Here is a 16,706-nt window from a genome sequence, read left to right on the forward strand (position 1 = left end):
TAGTATGATGTCTCACTGTAGTTTTGATTTGCATTTCCCTTATGATTAGTGATATTGAGCATTTAAAAAATATAGCTATTGGCCATTTGTATGTGTTCTTTTCAGAAGTTTCTATTCAGATGCTGTGCCCACTTTTTTTTTTTTTTTTTTTTTTGAGACAGAGTCTTGCTCTTTTGCCCAGGCTGGAGTGCAATGGCGCGATCTCGGCTACTGCAAGCTTCACCTCCCAGGTTCATGCCATTCTCCTGCCTCAGCCTCCCGACTAGCTGGGACTACAGCCGCCCGCCCAGCTAATTTTTTTTTGTATTTTTAGTAGAGACGGGGTTTCACGGTGTTAGCCAGGATGGTCTTGATCTCCTGACCTCATGATCCGCGTGCCTCAGCTTCTCAAAGTTCTGGGATTACAGGCGTGAGCCACCGCGCCTGGCTTTTTTTGTTTGTTTGTTTTTTTGGTGACGGAGTCTTGCTGTGTCCCCCAGGCTGGAGTGCACTGGCATGACCTCAGCTCACTGCAACCTCTGCCTCCTGGGTTCAAGCAATTCTCCTGCTTCAGCCTCCTGAGTAGCTGGGATTACAGGCGCACACCACCACACCCAGCTAATTTTTGTATTTTTAGTAGAGACGGGGCTTCACCATGTTAGCTAGGCTGGTCTCGAATTCCTGACCTCATGATCAGCCCACCTTGGCCTCCCAAAGTGGTGAGATAATAGGCGTGAGCCGCTGCGCCTGGTGTGCTTAAGTCTTTAATACATCTTGAGTTGATTTTTGTAAATGGTGAGGGAGAAGTGTCCAGTTTTATTTTTCTGCATATGGATATCCAATTTTCTCAGTATCATTTATTGAAGAGGTTGTCCTTTCCCCAGTAGATGTTCTTGGTGCCTTTGTTGAAAATCAGTTGGCTACCAATCCATGGATTTATTTTTGAGTTCTCTATTCTGCTCCATTGGTCTATGTGTTTGTTTTTATACTAATACCATGCTGTTTTGGTTATTATTGCTTTATAATATATTTTGAAATCAGGTAGTGTGGTGTCTCCAGCTTTTGAACAAATATTTATTGAACATCTATTATATGCCAGGCAATGCTCTAAGAAACAGAAATGAAGAAAAAAGACAAAAATCTCTGCCCTTGGAGCACTTACATTCCAGTGACACTTATACAGCAGGCATTTGTTCTGGCAGTTGATTGCTGTGTTATTTATTTATTTATTTATTTATTTTTGAGACAGAGTCTTGCTCTGTCTCCCAGGCTGGAGTGCAATGGCACAATCTCGGCTCACTGCAACCTCTGCCTCCCAGGTTCAAGCGATTCTCCTATCTCAGCCTCCCTAGTAGTTGGGATTATAGGCACGTGCCATCACGCCGGGCTAATTTTTTTGTATTTTAGTAGAGACAGGGTTTCACCATGTTGCCCAGGCTGGTCTCCAACTCCTGAGCTCAGGCAATCCACCTGCCTCGGCCTCCCAAAGTGCTAGGATTACAGGCGTGAGCCACCGCGCCCAGCCCGATTGCTGTGTAATTTAATACCAAAAACAATGGTATTAAAATGTGGGCAAAATTTATTTGGCAATTCTTTTCTTCATACATTACCAACTCTGGTCACTGGTTCCTATTCAGCTGACAGCTGATCTGGTCTGTAGGATCCATATAGCTTCACTCAGATGCCTGGCACCTCGTCAGGATAGCAATAAAGCTGGCCACAATAAGGCCTCTGTCCTCCATGGAGTCGCAGGGTTTCTCCATGTGGTCTTTCCAGAGGGGTAGTCAGAGTTCTTACACTGTGACTGGATTTCCCCAGAGGGAGCATTCCTGGAGGTCAGGGAAGAAACTGAAAGGCTCCTGACCCAGACTTAGAAACCAAGCAGGATCACTTCAGCTGCATTTTATCAGTGACAAGTGAGTACTTGCTACCAGTGTGGATGCAAGGGGAAGAATATTAGGTCCCATTTTTTTCATGGGAGAAGTTGCAAAGAATCCGTGGGCATTTTCATGCTATACGATATGTATATATGGGTATGTGTGTATATATACGTTCTATTTAATCCTCATAACAACCCTATGAGGTAGGTACACTTAAGTTATACTTATTTTACAGACAAGGAGACTAAGACAGCAAGGTTAAGTAACTTGCTCAAGGTTACATAGCTGTCAGCAGTCAAGCCACAATTCAGAAAACAGGAGTCTAGCTCTAGAGCCCAATTTTTTAGCACTGCACTTTACCGCCTCAAGTGATTTACATTACCTTAGATAATGTATTGGATTAAAATGGCTGGCTCCCAATTCCTCATGCACAAAATGAGAGGCTAAGAATGGATGTTTCCCACCTCACACCAGTTAGAATGCCCACTCTCAAAAACAGAAATTAAAAAAATTAAGTTGAGGATGTGCAGAAATTGCAATTCTTGTGCGCTTTTCCTAGGAATGCAAAATGGTGCCGCTGTTATGAAAAACAATATGGTGGTTCCTCAAACAATTAAAAATAGGACCAGGTGCAGTGGCTTATGCCTGTAATCCCAGTACTTTGGGAAACTAAGACTGGTAGATCGCTTGAGCCCAGAAGTTCGAGACCAGCCTGGGCAACATAGTGAGACCCTGTCTCTACAAAAATATATTAAAATTAGCTGGGCATAGTGGCACATGCCTGTAGACCTGGCTACTTGGCAGCTGAGATGGGAGGATTGCTTGAGCCCAGGAGGCAGAGGATGCAGTGAGCCAGGATGGTGTCACTGCACGAGACCCCGTTTTATACACACACACACATACACACACACACACACACACACACACACAATTAAAACTAGGATTACCATATGATTCCATAATTCCACTTCTGAATATATGCCCAAAATAATTATTCAATTATTTTGGACCCTTTTGAGACCCTTTGTCTCAAAAAGATGTTTGTACGCCCATGTTTATTTCAAATGGCTGGCTCCCAGTTCCTCATTTTTCAGCAATTATTCACAATAGCCAAAATGTGGGAGCAATACAAGTGTCCATCAACAGATGAATGGATAAACAAAACGTGGTACATGCAACAGAATATATTCAGCCTTAAGAAGGAATGAGGCCAGGTGCGGTGGCTTACTTCTGTAATCCCAGCACTTTGGGAGGTCCAGGCAGGTAGATCACTTGAGGTCAGGAGTTCAAGACCAGCTTGGCCAAGATGGTGAAACCCCATCTCCACTAAAAACACAAAATTAGCTGGGCGTGGTGGTACACGCTTGTAATCCCAGCTATTCAGGAGGCTAAGGCAGGAGAATCACTTGAACCTGGGAGGCGGAGGTTGCAGTGAGCCAAGATCGTACCACTGGACCCCAGCCTGGCCGACAGAACGAAACTCCATCTCAAAAAAAAAAAAAAAAAAAAAAAAAGAATGGAGTCCAACAATAAAAAAAAAATTAAAAAAAAAAGAAGGAACAAAATTCTGACACTTGCTACAACATGGATGAAACTGAAAGACATTATGCCAAGTGAAATAGGCCAACCACAAAAGGACAAATATTGTATGATTGCACTTATATGAGGTACCTAGAGTAGTCAAATACAGAGTCAGAAAGTAAAAGGGTGCTTGTCAGAGGCTGGAGGGAGGGGAAAATGGGAAGTTCTTTAATGGGTAAAGAGTTTCATCTTTGCAAGATGAAAAGAGTTCTGGAGATTGGTTGCACAACAAAGTGAATGTACTTAACACTACTAAACTACAATTAAAAATGGTTACAGGTTGGGGACAGTGGCTCACGCCTGTAATCCCAGCACTTTGGGAGGCCAAGGCAGGTGGATCACCTGAGGTCAGGAGTTCGAGACCAGCCTGGCCAACATAGTGAAACCCTGTCTCTTCTAAAAATAAAAAAATTAGCCGGGTGTGGTGTTGCACGCCTGTAATCTCAGCTACTCGAGAGGCTAAGACAGGAGAATTGCTTGAACCCGGGAGGCGGAGGTTTCAGAGAGCTGAGATGTCACCACTACACTCCAGCCTGGACAACACAGCAAGACTCTGTCACACACACACAAAAAAAGTACAATAGTAAATTTGATGCTGTATGTATTTTACCGCAATTGAAAAATAAAAAGAATGGATGAATCTCATCTTCAGCTTTTCATAATTCTATGTAATTTTATCCTATATCTAGTATAATAGTGATTACTTCTGTTGTACTTAGAAATAAATATGTACTTAGAAATAAATATTAGAAATATTTATTGTTGTACTTAGAAATAAATATTCCATTATGAGTTGGTCCTTAGTCTCATAATTTTACAGAAAGTAACAAATTGTCTTAAGAAAGTAGAGCACATTGTATAATCTTTTTCCACAAAACATTGAAATAATGAGTCATTAACAAAGGTGTCTAGTGATGTATACAGAAAGTTACTAAAATACACAATAGAATTAGCAAATCAAACAGTGAAAGGCAAACTCAGACATGACTCCTTGCCCATCAGGACAGGCCAAAGCAAACAAGGGTATTTTGCATTGTGCTGTGAAGGTCAATAAACACAGACTTGGCTAGTTCAGGAGAGGCAGAAAAATGTAGAAACCAGGGCCTTTGGAATTAAGCCTCACCCCAAAATTCAAACCATAGGGTAGAACTCAGATGCAAACAATGTTTCTGTTGACTGGAAGATGACTTGGGAAAAAAACCACAACTAATCAGGTTCTGGGTGTCAGAAAACGATTTTACCAGGCCATTTAGGGGTGAGCAAGTTTGATTCCAAGTTCTAATCAAAAGGTGAATATCATTGTCTTCCCAACTGACTAGAAAGTCTGTAAGAAAGTGTTTCAGGGACACTACTGAGCCCCAGGGCAAGAAGGAGAAAGAAGGAAGTGGTGTTCTTTTTTTTACTTTAAAATTTTCTTCCTGATTATCTGCATAAAACATATTCATTGAAAAGTGCAATACACATCGTTATTCTGAGGGCCTAATAGCTCTCCTCTTTTCTAGATACATGGCACTCTTCATTCCCTTGCACTAGCCATCTGGTCAGTGAATATTGCTGTCTCCTTTCACAAATCTGTCTTCCTGGCCACAGTGATTGTTCTAAGAGTAGACACATGATCCAAGTTGGCCCCTAATACTCTCTCATTACCACCACCTGAGCCACTGTGATTGGGTAATGGTTGGACACGAGATCTAACATGGGCCAGTGAGAACTTTTCATTGTGATTGTTCTAGATGCACCTCCCCAACCCCACTCAAACAATGGAGAGACAGTCTTTTATTTTCCTTGGCAAAACTAGAAAATGTGAATCCAGGAGCTACTGGCAACAGGGTTCTAAGGCTTGTGGAGAAGGCAGAGCTACCCTAGGAGACATTGACCCCAAGGTACAGAGAGGAGCAGAAACTGGATTCTAAAGAACTGGAGAGACCCTGGTTGCAGTCAGTTTTAGCAAATGGTTTCATGAGCCAATAAATATTAGTGCCCTGACTGACTCTGTGAACCAATAAATATCCTTCTTACTAAGCTAGTTTGATTTAGGTTTCAGACGCTTACACCCAGAAGAGCCCTAACTGATATCATCAAACAGAAAAGTATTAAGAAACAGAATACTCATCCATAGTGGTATTCTCTAGTGGCAACAGCTGATAATGAGGCAGGAAAATAGGGTCTGGAGGAAGGGAACCTAAGGCCATTTCACACTGACTTCCTAGAACTAAACTGAAAGGAAATCCCTAACTTTCCACACCTAAGTAACAAAAGGACCACAGGCTACTCCCTTTGTAAACCCCCATCTTTTCTGCAACGCAGATGGGAAATTGAAAATACCTCTGCAAGAAGCAACCAATGAGGCATTTGCCTAGGAGTGTAACTTTATAATTTCACTTCAGCCTCTGATTAGTTGCTGTCTGCAGCCAATCAGACCGATTGCGAGCCAAGTTTTCATTTGCATAGAAGTGAAAAATTTGTAACATCACTTTAGCCTCTGATTGGTTGCTTTCCACAATCAGTCAGATGTTTGCATGGGAGTCTGACCTTTGCAACTTCATTTCAGCTGCTGATTGGTTGCTTTCCACAACCAATAAGCGAGCAACCACTGGGAAACCTCTAGCCGTTGTTTGGACCGGAGAAGATTCTGTATCTGGAGCCCTTGGGCCGCTGCTCTGGCCGCTCCCACGCTGTGGAGCGTACTTTCATTTGCAATAAATCTCTGCATTTGTTCTTTCGCTGCATCATTCTTTCCTTGCTCTGCTGTACATTTTGTCCAATTCTTTGTTCAAAACGCCAAGAACCTGGACAACATGCAGTCAAGACCCTCCACCAGTAACAGTAACATTCTGGTATGTGTACTTGTGGACTTTTAACTAAGCTTTTTTTTTTCCATTTATTTTCTCATCAAATTGAAGGTATAATATATACCCTTTTGGGGTCCTTTTATTTCTCTGTCACGTTGTATCATTTTCTAGTATCACTGAAAATGTTATAAAATAATTATAATTTTTTGGCCAGGCGCAGTGGGTCACGCCTGTAATCCCAGGACTTTGGGAGTCCGAGGTGGGCGGATCACGAGGTCAGGAGTTCGAGACCAGCCTGACCAACACGGTAAAACCCTGTCTCTAATAAAAATACAAAAATTAGCTGGGTGTGGTGGTGCACATCTGTAATCCCAGCTACTCAGGAAGCTAAGGCAGGAGAATCGCTTGAACCCGGGAGGCGAAAGTAGTGAGCCAAGATCGTGCCACTGCACTCCAGCCTGGGCGACAGAGCAAGACTCCCTCTCAAAAAAAAAAAATTATAATTTTTACAATTGTTTACATAATATTGGACTTTAGGTTATTTTCAAGTTTTTGATGCATATTGGGAATGAATTTTTGTCTCTCAAATTATCGTGGGAAATATATTGCTAGGAAGAAAATTACTGAGGCAAAGATTATGAATAGTGCCTTTGAAAGTTTTACACTTTTGTCATAAAAGCGATATATGATAAAAATAATTAAACAATTTAAAAGGATATAAAAGTGAAGGTCATCTTTCCATCTCTGACCTTCAGTCTTATTTCTTCTCCCTAGACTATAGGTATGTGTGTGTGTACATATTCCCCTGGAACTTTTTTTTTTTTTTAGTTGGAGTCTTGCTGTGTCACCCAGGCTGGAGTGCAATGGCACAATCTCGGCTCACTGCAACCTCTGTCTCCCAGGTTCAAGCGATTCTCCTGCCTCAGCCTCCCAAGTAGCTGGGACTACAGGCAGCAGCCACCACGCCCAGCTAATTTTTGTATTTTTAGTAGAGACAGGGTTTCGCCATGTTGGCCAGGCTGGTCTCGAACTCCTGACCTCAGGTGATCCACCCGCCTCAGCCTCCCAAAGTGCTGGGATTACAGGCATGAGCCACCGCGCCTGGTCTCCCCTGCAACTTTTGAAGAAACCCACCAAATTATGGTATTGTAAGAATACTGTTGTGTATTTTGATTTTCATAGTTTTAACAACATGTATTTTTAACAGCTGTGTGGCATTTAATTACCCCTTCCAATGATGGACATCTAGGCCTTTTCCACAGTTACCATTACAAAGAAGTCTACAACATGCACCCTTAATATATAGGATTATTGCAAATGTGTAAAATATGTCTGTAAAACAAATCTCTACAGAAGAAATGACGGAGTCAGAGTATATGCATTTTGTTTGTTTGTTTGTTTTTTGAGACGGAGTCTCGTTTTGTCACCCATGCTGGAGTGCAGTGGCACGATCTCGGCTCACTGCAACGTCTGCCTCCCGGGTTCAAGCGATTCTCCTGTCTCAGCCTCCCGAGTAGCTGGGAGTACAGACGCGTGCCACCACGCCCAGCTAACTTTTTGTATTTTTAGTAGAGATGGGGTTTCACCATGTTAGCCAGGATGGTCTTGATCTCCTGACCGCGTAATCTGCCCGCCTCAGCCTCCCAAAGTGCTGGGATTATAGGCATGAGCCACCGCACCTGGCTGCATTTTTATTTTGATAGGCAATTTCAAATGTCTCTACAATGGTTATTCCAAACAGACTCCCATCAGTAATGTGTGAAAGAGTATGCTTCCTGATACCCTCATCAAGATAATGTATTAACAAATTTTTATATCTTTGCTCATATGATTAGCAAAAACTTGTTTGTTTTTGTAGTTGTAATTTTAAAAACTACCTTTGGGAAAAGTTGTGCCAATTTATACTTCCATCTGTAATATGTAAAATCGTCTGCCTTATTGCACATACATCAGCATTAAGCATCATCATTATTTTAAATCTTTACTAATTTAGTAGGAGATAATAGTATCTAATTTTAAAATATTGCTTCTTATTCATTCATGGAATATTTATTTCCCAAGTACCTATAGTGTGAGACATTGCTCTGACAACAATGGTAAGACACTATCCTTATGGAGCTTATAATTCGTTGATTACGAATAAGTCTAAATTTTTTTTAAATGAGCAGTTTCGGAGCCAGGCACAATGATGCACACCTGTAGTGCCAGCTACTCAGGAAGCTAAGGTGGCATCCCTTGAGCTAGGAGTTCGAGGCTGTGGTGTGCCATGATTAGGCCTGTAAATGATCACTGCAGTCCAGTCTGGGCAGTATAGTGTGTTCCATCTCTTAAAAAACAAACAAACAAAAAAAAAACAGCTTTTGAGTTTCATTTTAAACTGAGAATTGTACATTGCCTCAAACTTTTTAAGGAGATACAAGATGATGATAATTTAAAGATGATATTTATCATCCTGATTCAAAGAGAGATCTATAGACATCTCCAATGAAAAATTGGCATTTCGTCTTTCATTTATATGACTACTTGCATTCTGTTATCCAGACGAGAGAGCTCCATAAGCTTCAAGGAAGTAGGCCAAATACAGTGGCAGGTTACTCATTGACCATTGCCCTTGACCCCAGTGTCTATGGTCCAAGGCAGATTACTCATTGACCATCGCCCCCCACGCCAGTGTCTATGGTTCCTTTTTCCTTTTTGGAATATAATTTCCCCACCTTTTAGTAGGGGATATGGCTACTCACCTAGAGACTACAATTCCCTTGGAGCTAGGTGTGGACATGTGACTAGCCAATGATATGTAAGAAGTGATTTAAGCAATATCTTGATTATTTCTTAAAGAAATAATTTCTGCTGGGCATGGTGGCTCATGCCCATAATCACAGCACTTTGGGAGGCCAAGGTGAGTGGATTGCCTGAGCTCAGGAGTTTGTGACAAGCCTGGGTAATGTGGTGAAACCCCATCTCTACAAAAAATACAAAAGATTAGTGTGTGTGGTGGTGAGTGTCTGTAGTCCCAGCTACTTGGGAGGCTGAGGTGGGAGGATCCCTTGAGCCCAGGAGGTGGAGGCTACAGAGCTGAGAACATACCACTGCACTGCAGCCTGGGTGACAGTGAGACTCCATCTCAAAAATAAATAAATAAAAAAAGAGATAGCTTCTACTCTAGAAATGACAGGGAGTGAAAATCAATGTTGAGGGGCACAGAGACCAACTGCCTGCCTGGGATCCTGGATGGCCTGATAGAGCAGAGGTATCTTGTCAACCTAGGCTACTCACCTTTGGGCAGTCACTTGAGATAAATAAACCTCTATCTTATTGAAGTCACTGTAATTTTGGGCCTCTACAACAGCAGATAGGCATGTATACTAACTGATATGCTTACATAATGTGATATGATATGAAAGGTACTACAGAAGCCCAGAATATCTGTTCTACTGGCCTATATAATGTATGAAATGTCCTCATTAGAGAGTCCTCCCTCTGAGTTAACGCAGTGTTTCACAAAATATGTGCTGCTGAACACCAGTTTATCAGATAATTACAGATACTGAGATATGCTAGAATAAAAGGGCTAGTGGCCGGGTGCGGTGGCTCACACCTGTAATCCCAGCACTTTGGGAGGCTGAGATGGGCAGATCATCTGAGGTCAGGAGTTCAGCCTGACCAACATGGTGAAACCCTGTCTCTACTAAAAAATACAAAAAATTAGCTGGGCGTGGTGGCGGGTGCCTGTAATCCCAGCTACTTGGGAGGCTGAGGCAGGAGAATCTCTTGAACCTGGGAGGTGGAGGTTGTAGTGAGCCGAGATCGCGTCATTGCACTCCAACCTGGGCAACAAGAGAAACTCCGTCTCAAAAAAAAAAAAAAAAAAAAAAAAAGAATAAAAGGGCTAGTGTCCAATTACCCAATTACATTTCAGACATGCAGAGTCATATCACGTTTTTTGGCCTGTCTTTTATTTTATTTCATTTTTAAATTGACAAATAATAATTGCACATATTCATAGGGGACATAGTGATGTTTCGATGTATGTAATGTATAGTGATCAAATCAAGGTAACTAGCACAGCCATCATCTCAAACATTTATCATTTTTTTGTGTTGGGAACATTTGATATCCTCCTACCTAGTTGAACTATATATTATCGTTAATGATAGTCATCCTATGGTGGCATAAAACACTAGAACTTATTCCTTTTTTTTTTTTTTGAGACGGAGTCTCGTTCTGTTGCCCAGGCTGGAGTGCAGTGGTGCAATCTCAGCTCACTGCAACCTCTGCCTACCGGGTTCAAGTGATTCTCTTGCCTCAGCCTCCCAAGTAGCTGGGACTACAGGCACGCGCCACCACACCCGGCTAATTTTATATTTTTAGTAAAGTTAGAGTTTCACCATATTGGCCAGGCTGGTCTCAAACTCCTGACCTTGTAATCCACCCGTCTCTGCCTCCTAAAGTGCTGGGATTACAGGCATGAGCCACCGCACCTGGCCAGGAACTTATTCCTTTCATCTAGCTATAATTTTGCATCCTTTAACAAAAATTTATTTCAACACTGTCTTTACTAAAAATATAAAATTAGCCGGGTGTGGTGGCATGTGCCTGTAGTCCCAGCTACTTGGGAGGCTGAGGCAAGAGAATCACTTGAACCCGGTAGGCGGAGGTTGCAGTGAGCCGAGATTGCACCACTGCACTCCAGCCTGGGCAACAGAACGAGACTCTGTCTCAAAAAAAAAAAAAAGGAATAAGTTCTAGTGTTTTATGCCACCATAGGATGACTATCATTAACGATAATATATAGTTCAACTAGGTAGGAGGATATCAAATGTTCCCAACACAAAAAAATGATAAATGTTTGAGATGATGGCTGTGCTAGTTACCTTGATTTGATCACTATACATTACATATATCGAAACATCACTATGTACATTCCCGTCCTCTTCCCAGCCTCTAGTATTGTCTGTTCTACTTTTTACTTCCATGAGATCATTTTTTTAAGCTTCCACACTTGAGTGATAACATGGTGTCTAACATTCTGATCCTGGCTTATTTCATGTAACATAACATCTTTCTGTAACATCCATGTGCTGTGAATGACAGAATTTCATCCTTTCTTATGATTGAATAGTATTTCACGGTGTATATATACCAAATTTTCTTTCTCCATTCACTTGTCATTGGACGCCTAGGTTGATTCCATATCTTGGCTATTGTGAATAATGCTACAATAAACATGGGGATGTAGAAGTGTCCCTGATATAATTATTTCCTTCCTTTTGGATAAATTCCCATAGTGGCATTGTGGGATCATATGGCAGTTATATTTGTAGTTTTTTGAGAGAACTTCATACTGTTGTACATAGTAGCTATACTAGTCTGCACTCCCACTGACAGTGAATAGGAGTTCCCTTTTCTCTGCATTCTCACCAACATTTGTTATTTTTTGTCTTTTTGATAATAGCCACCCTTAAGGGGTGAGGTGATACCTCATTGTGGTTTTGATTTGCATTTCCCTAATGTTGTTGTGCATTTTTCCATGTATTTGTTGGCCATTTGTATGTCTTCTTTGGATATGTCTGTTTAGATCGTTTGTCCATTTTTAAATTGGATCATTTGGTTTTTGCTGTGAGATGTTTGAGTTGCTTATGTATTCTGGAAACTAATCTGTTGCAGTAGTTTGCAAATATTTTATCCCCTTCTGTAGGTTGTCTTTTCATTCTGTTGATTGTTTCCTTTGCTGGCAGAAGGCTTTTAGTTTGATATAATCCCATTTGTTTATTTTTGCTTTTGTTGCTTGTGCTTTTGAGGTCTTATTCATAAAATATTTTCTCAGACCAGACCAGGCGCAGTGGCTCACGCCTGTAATCCCAGCACTTTGGGAGGCCAAGGTGGGCAGATCATGAGGTCAAGAGATCAAGACCATCCTGCCCAACATGGTGCAATCCCATCTCGACTAAAAATACAAAAATTAGCCGGGCTTGGTGGCACGTGCCTGTAGTCCCAGTTACTCAGGAGGCTGAGGCAGGATAATTGCTTGAACCTGGGAGGCAGAGGTTGCAGTGAGCCAAGGTCAAGCCACTGCGTTCCAGCCTGGGTGACAGAGTGTATGATACGTCCAGCTTTGTTCTTTTTACACAGGATTGCTTTAGCTAATTGTTTTTTTTTTTCTGGTTTCATGCAATTTTAAGATTTTTTCCCATTTATGTGAAAAATGTTATTGATGTATTAATAAGGATTGTGTTGAATCTATAGATTGCTTTGGGTAGCATTGTCATTTTAACACGAGTAATTCTTCCGATCCAAAATCATGGGATGTCTTTCCATTTGTTTGTATCCTCTTCAATTTCTTTCACCAGTGTTTTGTAATTTTCCTTGTAAAAGTCTTTCACCTTTTTGGTTAAATTTATTCCTAGGGGTGTGTGTGTGTGTGTGTGTGTGTGTGTGTGTGTGTGTGTGTGTAGCTATTGTAAAGGACATTGTCTTTTTTATTTCTTTTTCAGCTAGTTCATTGTTTGTGTATGCAAATACTGATATTTGCATATTAATTTTGTATCCTGCGACTTTGCTAAATTTGTTTGTCGGGTCTAAGAGTTTTTTGGTAAGATCTTTAGGTTTTACTGCATGTGAGATCATGTTATCTGAAAACAGGAACAATTTGACTTCCTCATTTGTGGATATCCTTTATTTCTTTATTTTGCCTAATTGCTATGTCTAGGAATTCCAGTATTATGTTGAATAAGAGTGGTGAGAGTGGGCATACTTGTCATACTCGTCTTGTTCCAGTCCTTAGAAGAAAAGCTTTCCGCTTTTCCACATTCAGTGAGATAGCTGTAGGTTTGTCATGTGTGGTCTTTATTATTTTGAGGAACTTTCCTTCTTTACCTAAATCATTATGAGTTTTTATCATGAAGCAATGTTGAATTTTATCAAAAGTTTTTTCTGCGTCTATTGACATCATCATATGGTTTTTGTCCTTCATTCTACTGATGTGATGTGTGACATTTATTGATTTGTATTATGTTGAACCATCCATATATTCCTGGGAGAGATGCCACTAGCTCATGATGTATTATCTTTTTTATATATTGTATGATTTGGTTTGCTAGTATTTTGTTAAGGATTTTTGCATCTGTGTTTACCAGGGGTATTGGCCTGCAGTGTTCTTTCTTTGTGGTATCCTTGTCTGGTATCAGGGTTGTGCTGGCCAAGTAGAATGACTTAGGAAGAATTCCCTCTGCTTCAACTTTTTGGAATAGTTTGAGAAGAATTGATATTAATTATCTAAAGGTTTGCTAGAATTCGGCTGGGCATGGTGGCTCACACCTGTAATCCCAGCACTTTGGGAGGCCGAGGTGGGCCGATCACCTGAGGTCAGGAGTTCGAGACCAGCCTGACCAACATGGAGAAACCCCATCTCTACTAAAAATACAAAATTAGCTGGGCATGGTGGCACATGCTTGTAATCCCAGCTACTCGGGAGGCTGAGGCAGGAGAATCACATGAACCCAGGAGGCAGGGGTTGCGGAGAGCCGAGATCACACCATTGCACTCCGGCCTGGGCAACAAGTGGGAAACTCCATCTCAAAAAAAAAAAAAAAAGTTTCCTAGAATTCAATGGTGAAGCCATTTGGTCCTGGACTTTTCTTTGTGGAAAGACTTTTTATTATTGACTCAATCTCATTATTTGTTATTGGTCTGTTCAGGCTTTTTATTTCTTCTTGGTTTAATTCTGGTAGGTTGTATGTGTTCATGCCAATAAATTAAAAAACCTAGAGGAAATGGATAAATTCTTGGACTGCAGGAAAAGAAGTCACTAAGAAGTTATTCAAGCAGTGTACCTTATACCCAATAGATAGTTTTTCATCCCTCATCCCCCTTTCACTGTCCCCTGTTCTGGTTCTCCAGTGTCCATTAAACCATTCTGTACACCTTGCATGCTTGTAGCTTAGCCCCTACTTATGAATGAGAACATGTGATATTTCGTTTTCGATTCCTGAGTTACTTACTTAGAATAATGGCCTCCAGTCCCATCCAAGTGACTGCAAAAGACAGTATTTAGTTCTTTTTTGTGGCTCAGTAGTATTCCATGGAGTGTGTATTCCATGGTATATACATATGTGTATGCATACCACATTTTCTTTATCCACTCATGGGTTTATGGGCACTTAGGTTGATGCTATATCTTTGCAATTGTGAACTGCACTGCAATAAACATACACATGCATGTGTCTTTTTGATATACTGACTTCTTTTCCTTTGGATAGATACCCAGTAGTGGATTTGCTGGGTCAAATGGCAGATCCACTTTCAGTTCTTTGAGAAATCTCCATACGGTTTTCCATAGAGGTTGTACTAATTTACATTCCCATCAGTGTTTCTTTTTCACATCTACATGAATATCTATTGTTTCTTGACTTTCTAATAATGGCCATTCTGGATGGAGTAAGGTCTGATCTCATTGTAGTTTTTATTTGCATTTCCCTGACATTTAGTGATGTTGAGCATTTTTTCATTTTTTTTTTTTGGCCATTTGTATATCTTCTTTTCAGAAATGTCTATTCATATCCTTTGCTGACTTTTTAATGGAATCATTTGTTGTTTTCTTCCTGATTTGTTTGAGTTCCTTATAGATTCTGGATATTAGTCTTTTGTTGAATGCATAATTTGCAAAAATTTGTATCCATTCTGTAGGTTGTCTGTTTACTACGATGATTATTTCTTTTGCTGTGCAGAAACTTTTTAGTTTAATTAGGTCCCATTTATTTATTTATTTGTTGCATTTGCTTTTGGGGTCTTAGTCATAAATTCTCTACCTAAGCCAATGTCTAGAAGAGTTTTTCCTAGGTTTTCTTCTAGAATTTTTATGGTTTCAGGTCTTAGATTTAAGTCTTTAATCCATCTTGAGTTAATTTGTGTATATGGTGAGAGAGAGGGATCCAGTTTCATTCTTGTACTTTATGTATCTACTTTTATACCAGTACCATACTATTTTGGGTACTATAGCCTCATAGTATAATTTGAAGTTGGGTAATGACAATGCTTCCAGATTTGTTCATTATGCTTAAGATTGTTTTGGCTATTCAGGCTCTTTTTGGTTCCATAGGAATTTTAGGATTGTTTTTACTAATTCTGTGAAAAATGATGTTGGTATTTTCATAGAATTTATTTGAAACTGTAGATTGCTTTGGGCAGTATGGTCATTTTCACAGTATTGATTCTTCCAATCCATGAACATGAAATGTATTTCCATTTGTTTGTGTCATCTATGATTCCTTTCCACAGTGTTTTATAGTTCTCCCCATAGAGATCTTTCACCTCCTTGGTTAAGTATATTCCTAGGTATTTTATTTGGTTTGTAGGTACTATAAAAGTAATTGAGTTCTTGATTTGATTCTCAGTTCAGTCATTGTTGATGTATAGCAGTGCTGCTGATTTGTGTACATTGATTTTGTGACCTGAGACTACCGAATTCATTTATCAGATGCAGTAGTCTTTTAGAAGAGTTTTCTAGGTATAAGATTGTATCATTGGCAAACAGAGATAGTTTGACTTCTTCTTTTTCAATTTGATTGCTCTCTGTTTCTTTTTCTTGTCTGATTGCTCTGGCTAAGACTTCCTTTAAAAAAAGTTAGAGACAGCATCTCACTATGCTGTCTAGTTGTTCAGGCTGGTTTCAAACTCCTGGCCTCAAATGATCCTCCCACCTCAGCCTCTGAAAGTACAGGGATTACAGGTGTGAGCCACCGCCCCTGGCCTAAATTTTATTCTTAATTTCTTCCTTCACCCATTTGTTGCTCAGGAGCATGTTGTTTAATTTCCATGTATTTGTATAGTTTCTAATGTTCCTCTTGTTACTGATGTCTAATTTTATTCCATTGTGATCAAATAAGATACCTGATATGCTTTTGATGTTTAAACATTTTATAAGGCCAGGTGCAGTGGCTCACTCACCTGTAATCCCAGCACTTTGGGAGGCCAAGACAGGAGGGCTGCTTGAGCTCAGGAGTTTGAGACCAGCCTGGGCAACATCATGAAACCCCGTCTCTACAAAAGATACAAAAACTAGCCAGGCATGGTGGCGCAAGCTACTCAGTCCAAGCTACTCAGGTAGCTACTCATGGTAGTCCAAGCTACTCAGGAGGCTGAGGCAGGAGGATCACTTGAGCCTAGGAGGTGGAGATTGCAGGGAGCTGAGATCATGCCCACTGCACTCCAGCCTGGGTGAAAGAGCAAGACCCTGTCTCCAAAAAAAAAAAAGAAGTTTCTTTTTGGAGACTTGTTTTATTTCCTAATGTAAGTCAATCTGTGAGAATGTTCCATGGCTGATGAAAAGAATGCATATTGTGTAGCTGTTGAGTTAAATATTCTGTAAATGCCTATTAGGTCTCTGATCTATGGTACAGTTTTTTTTTTTTTGTTTTAAATTTATTTTTCTATTTGAGACATGGTCTCACTCTGTCACCCAGGCTGGAGGACAGGG

The sequence above is a fragment of the Homo sapiens genome, chromosome 14 (assembly GCF_000001405.40).
Source record: "Homo sapiens chromosome 14, GRCh38.p14 Primary Assembly".
In the NCBI taxonomy this organism is placed as follows: Eukaryota; Metazoa; Chordata; class Mammalia; order Primates; family Hominidae; genus Homo; species Homo sapiens.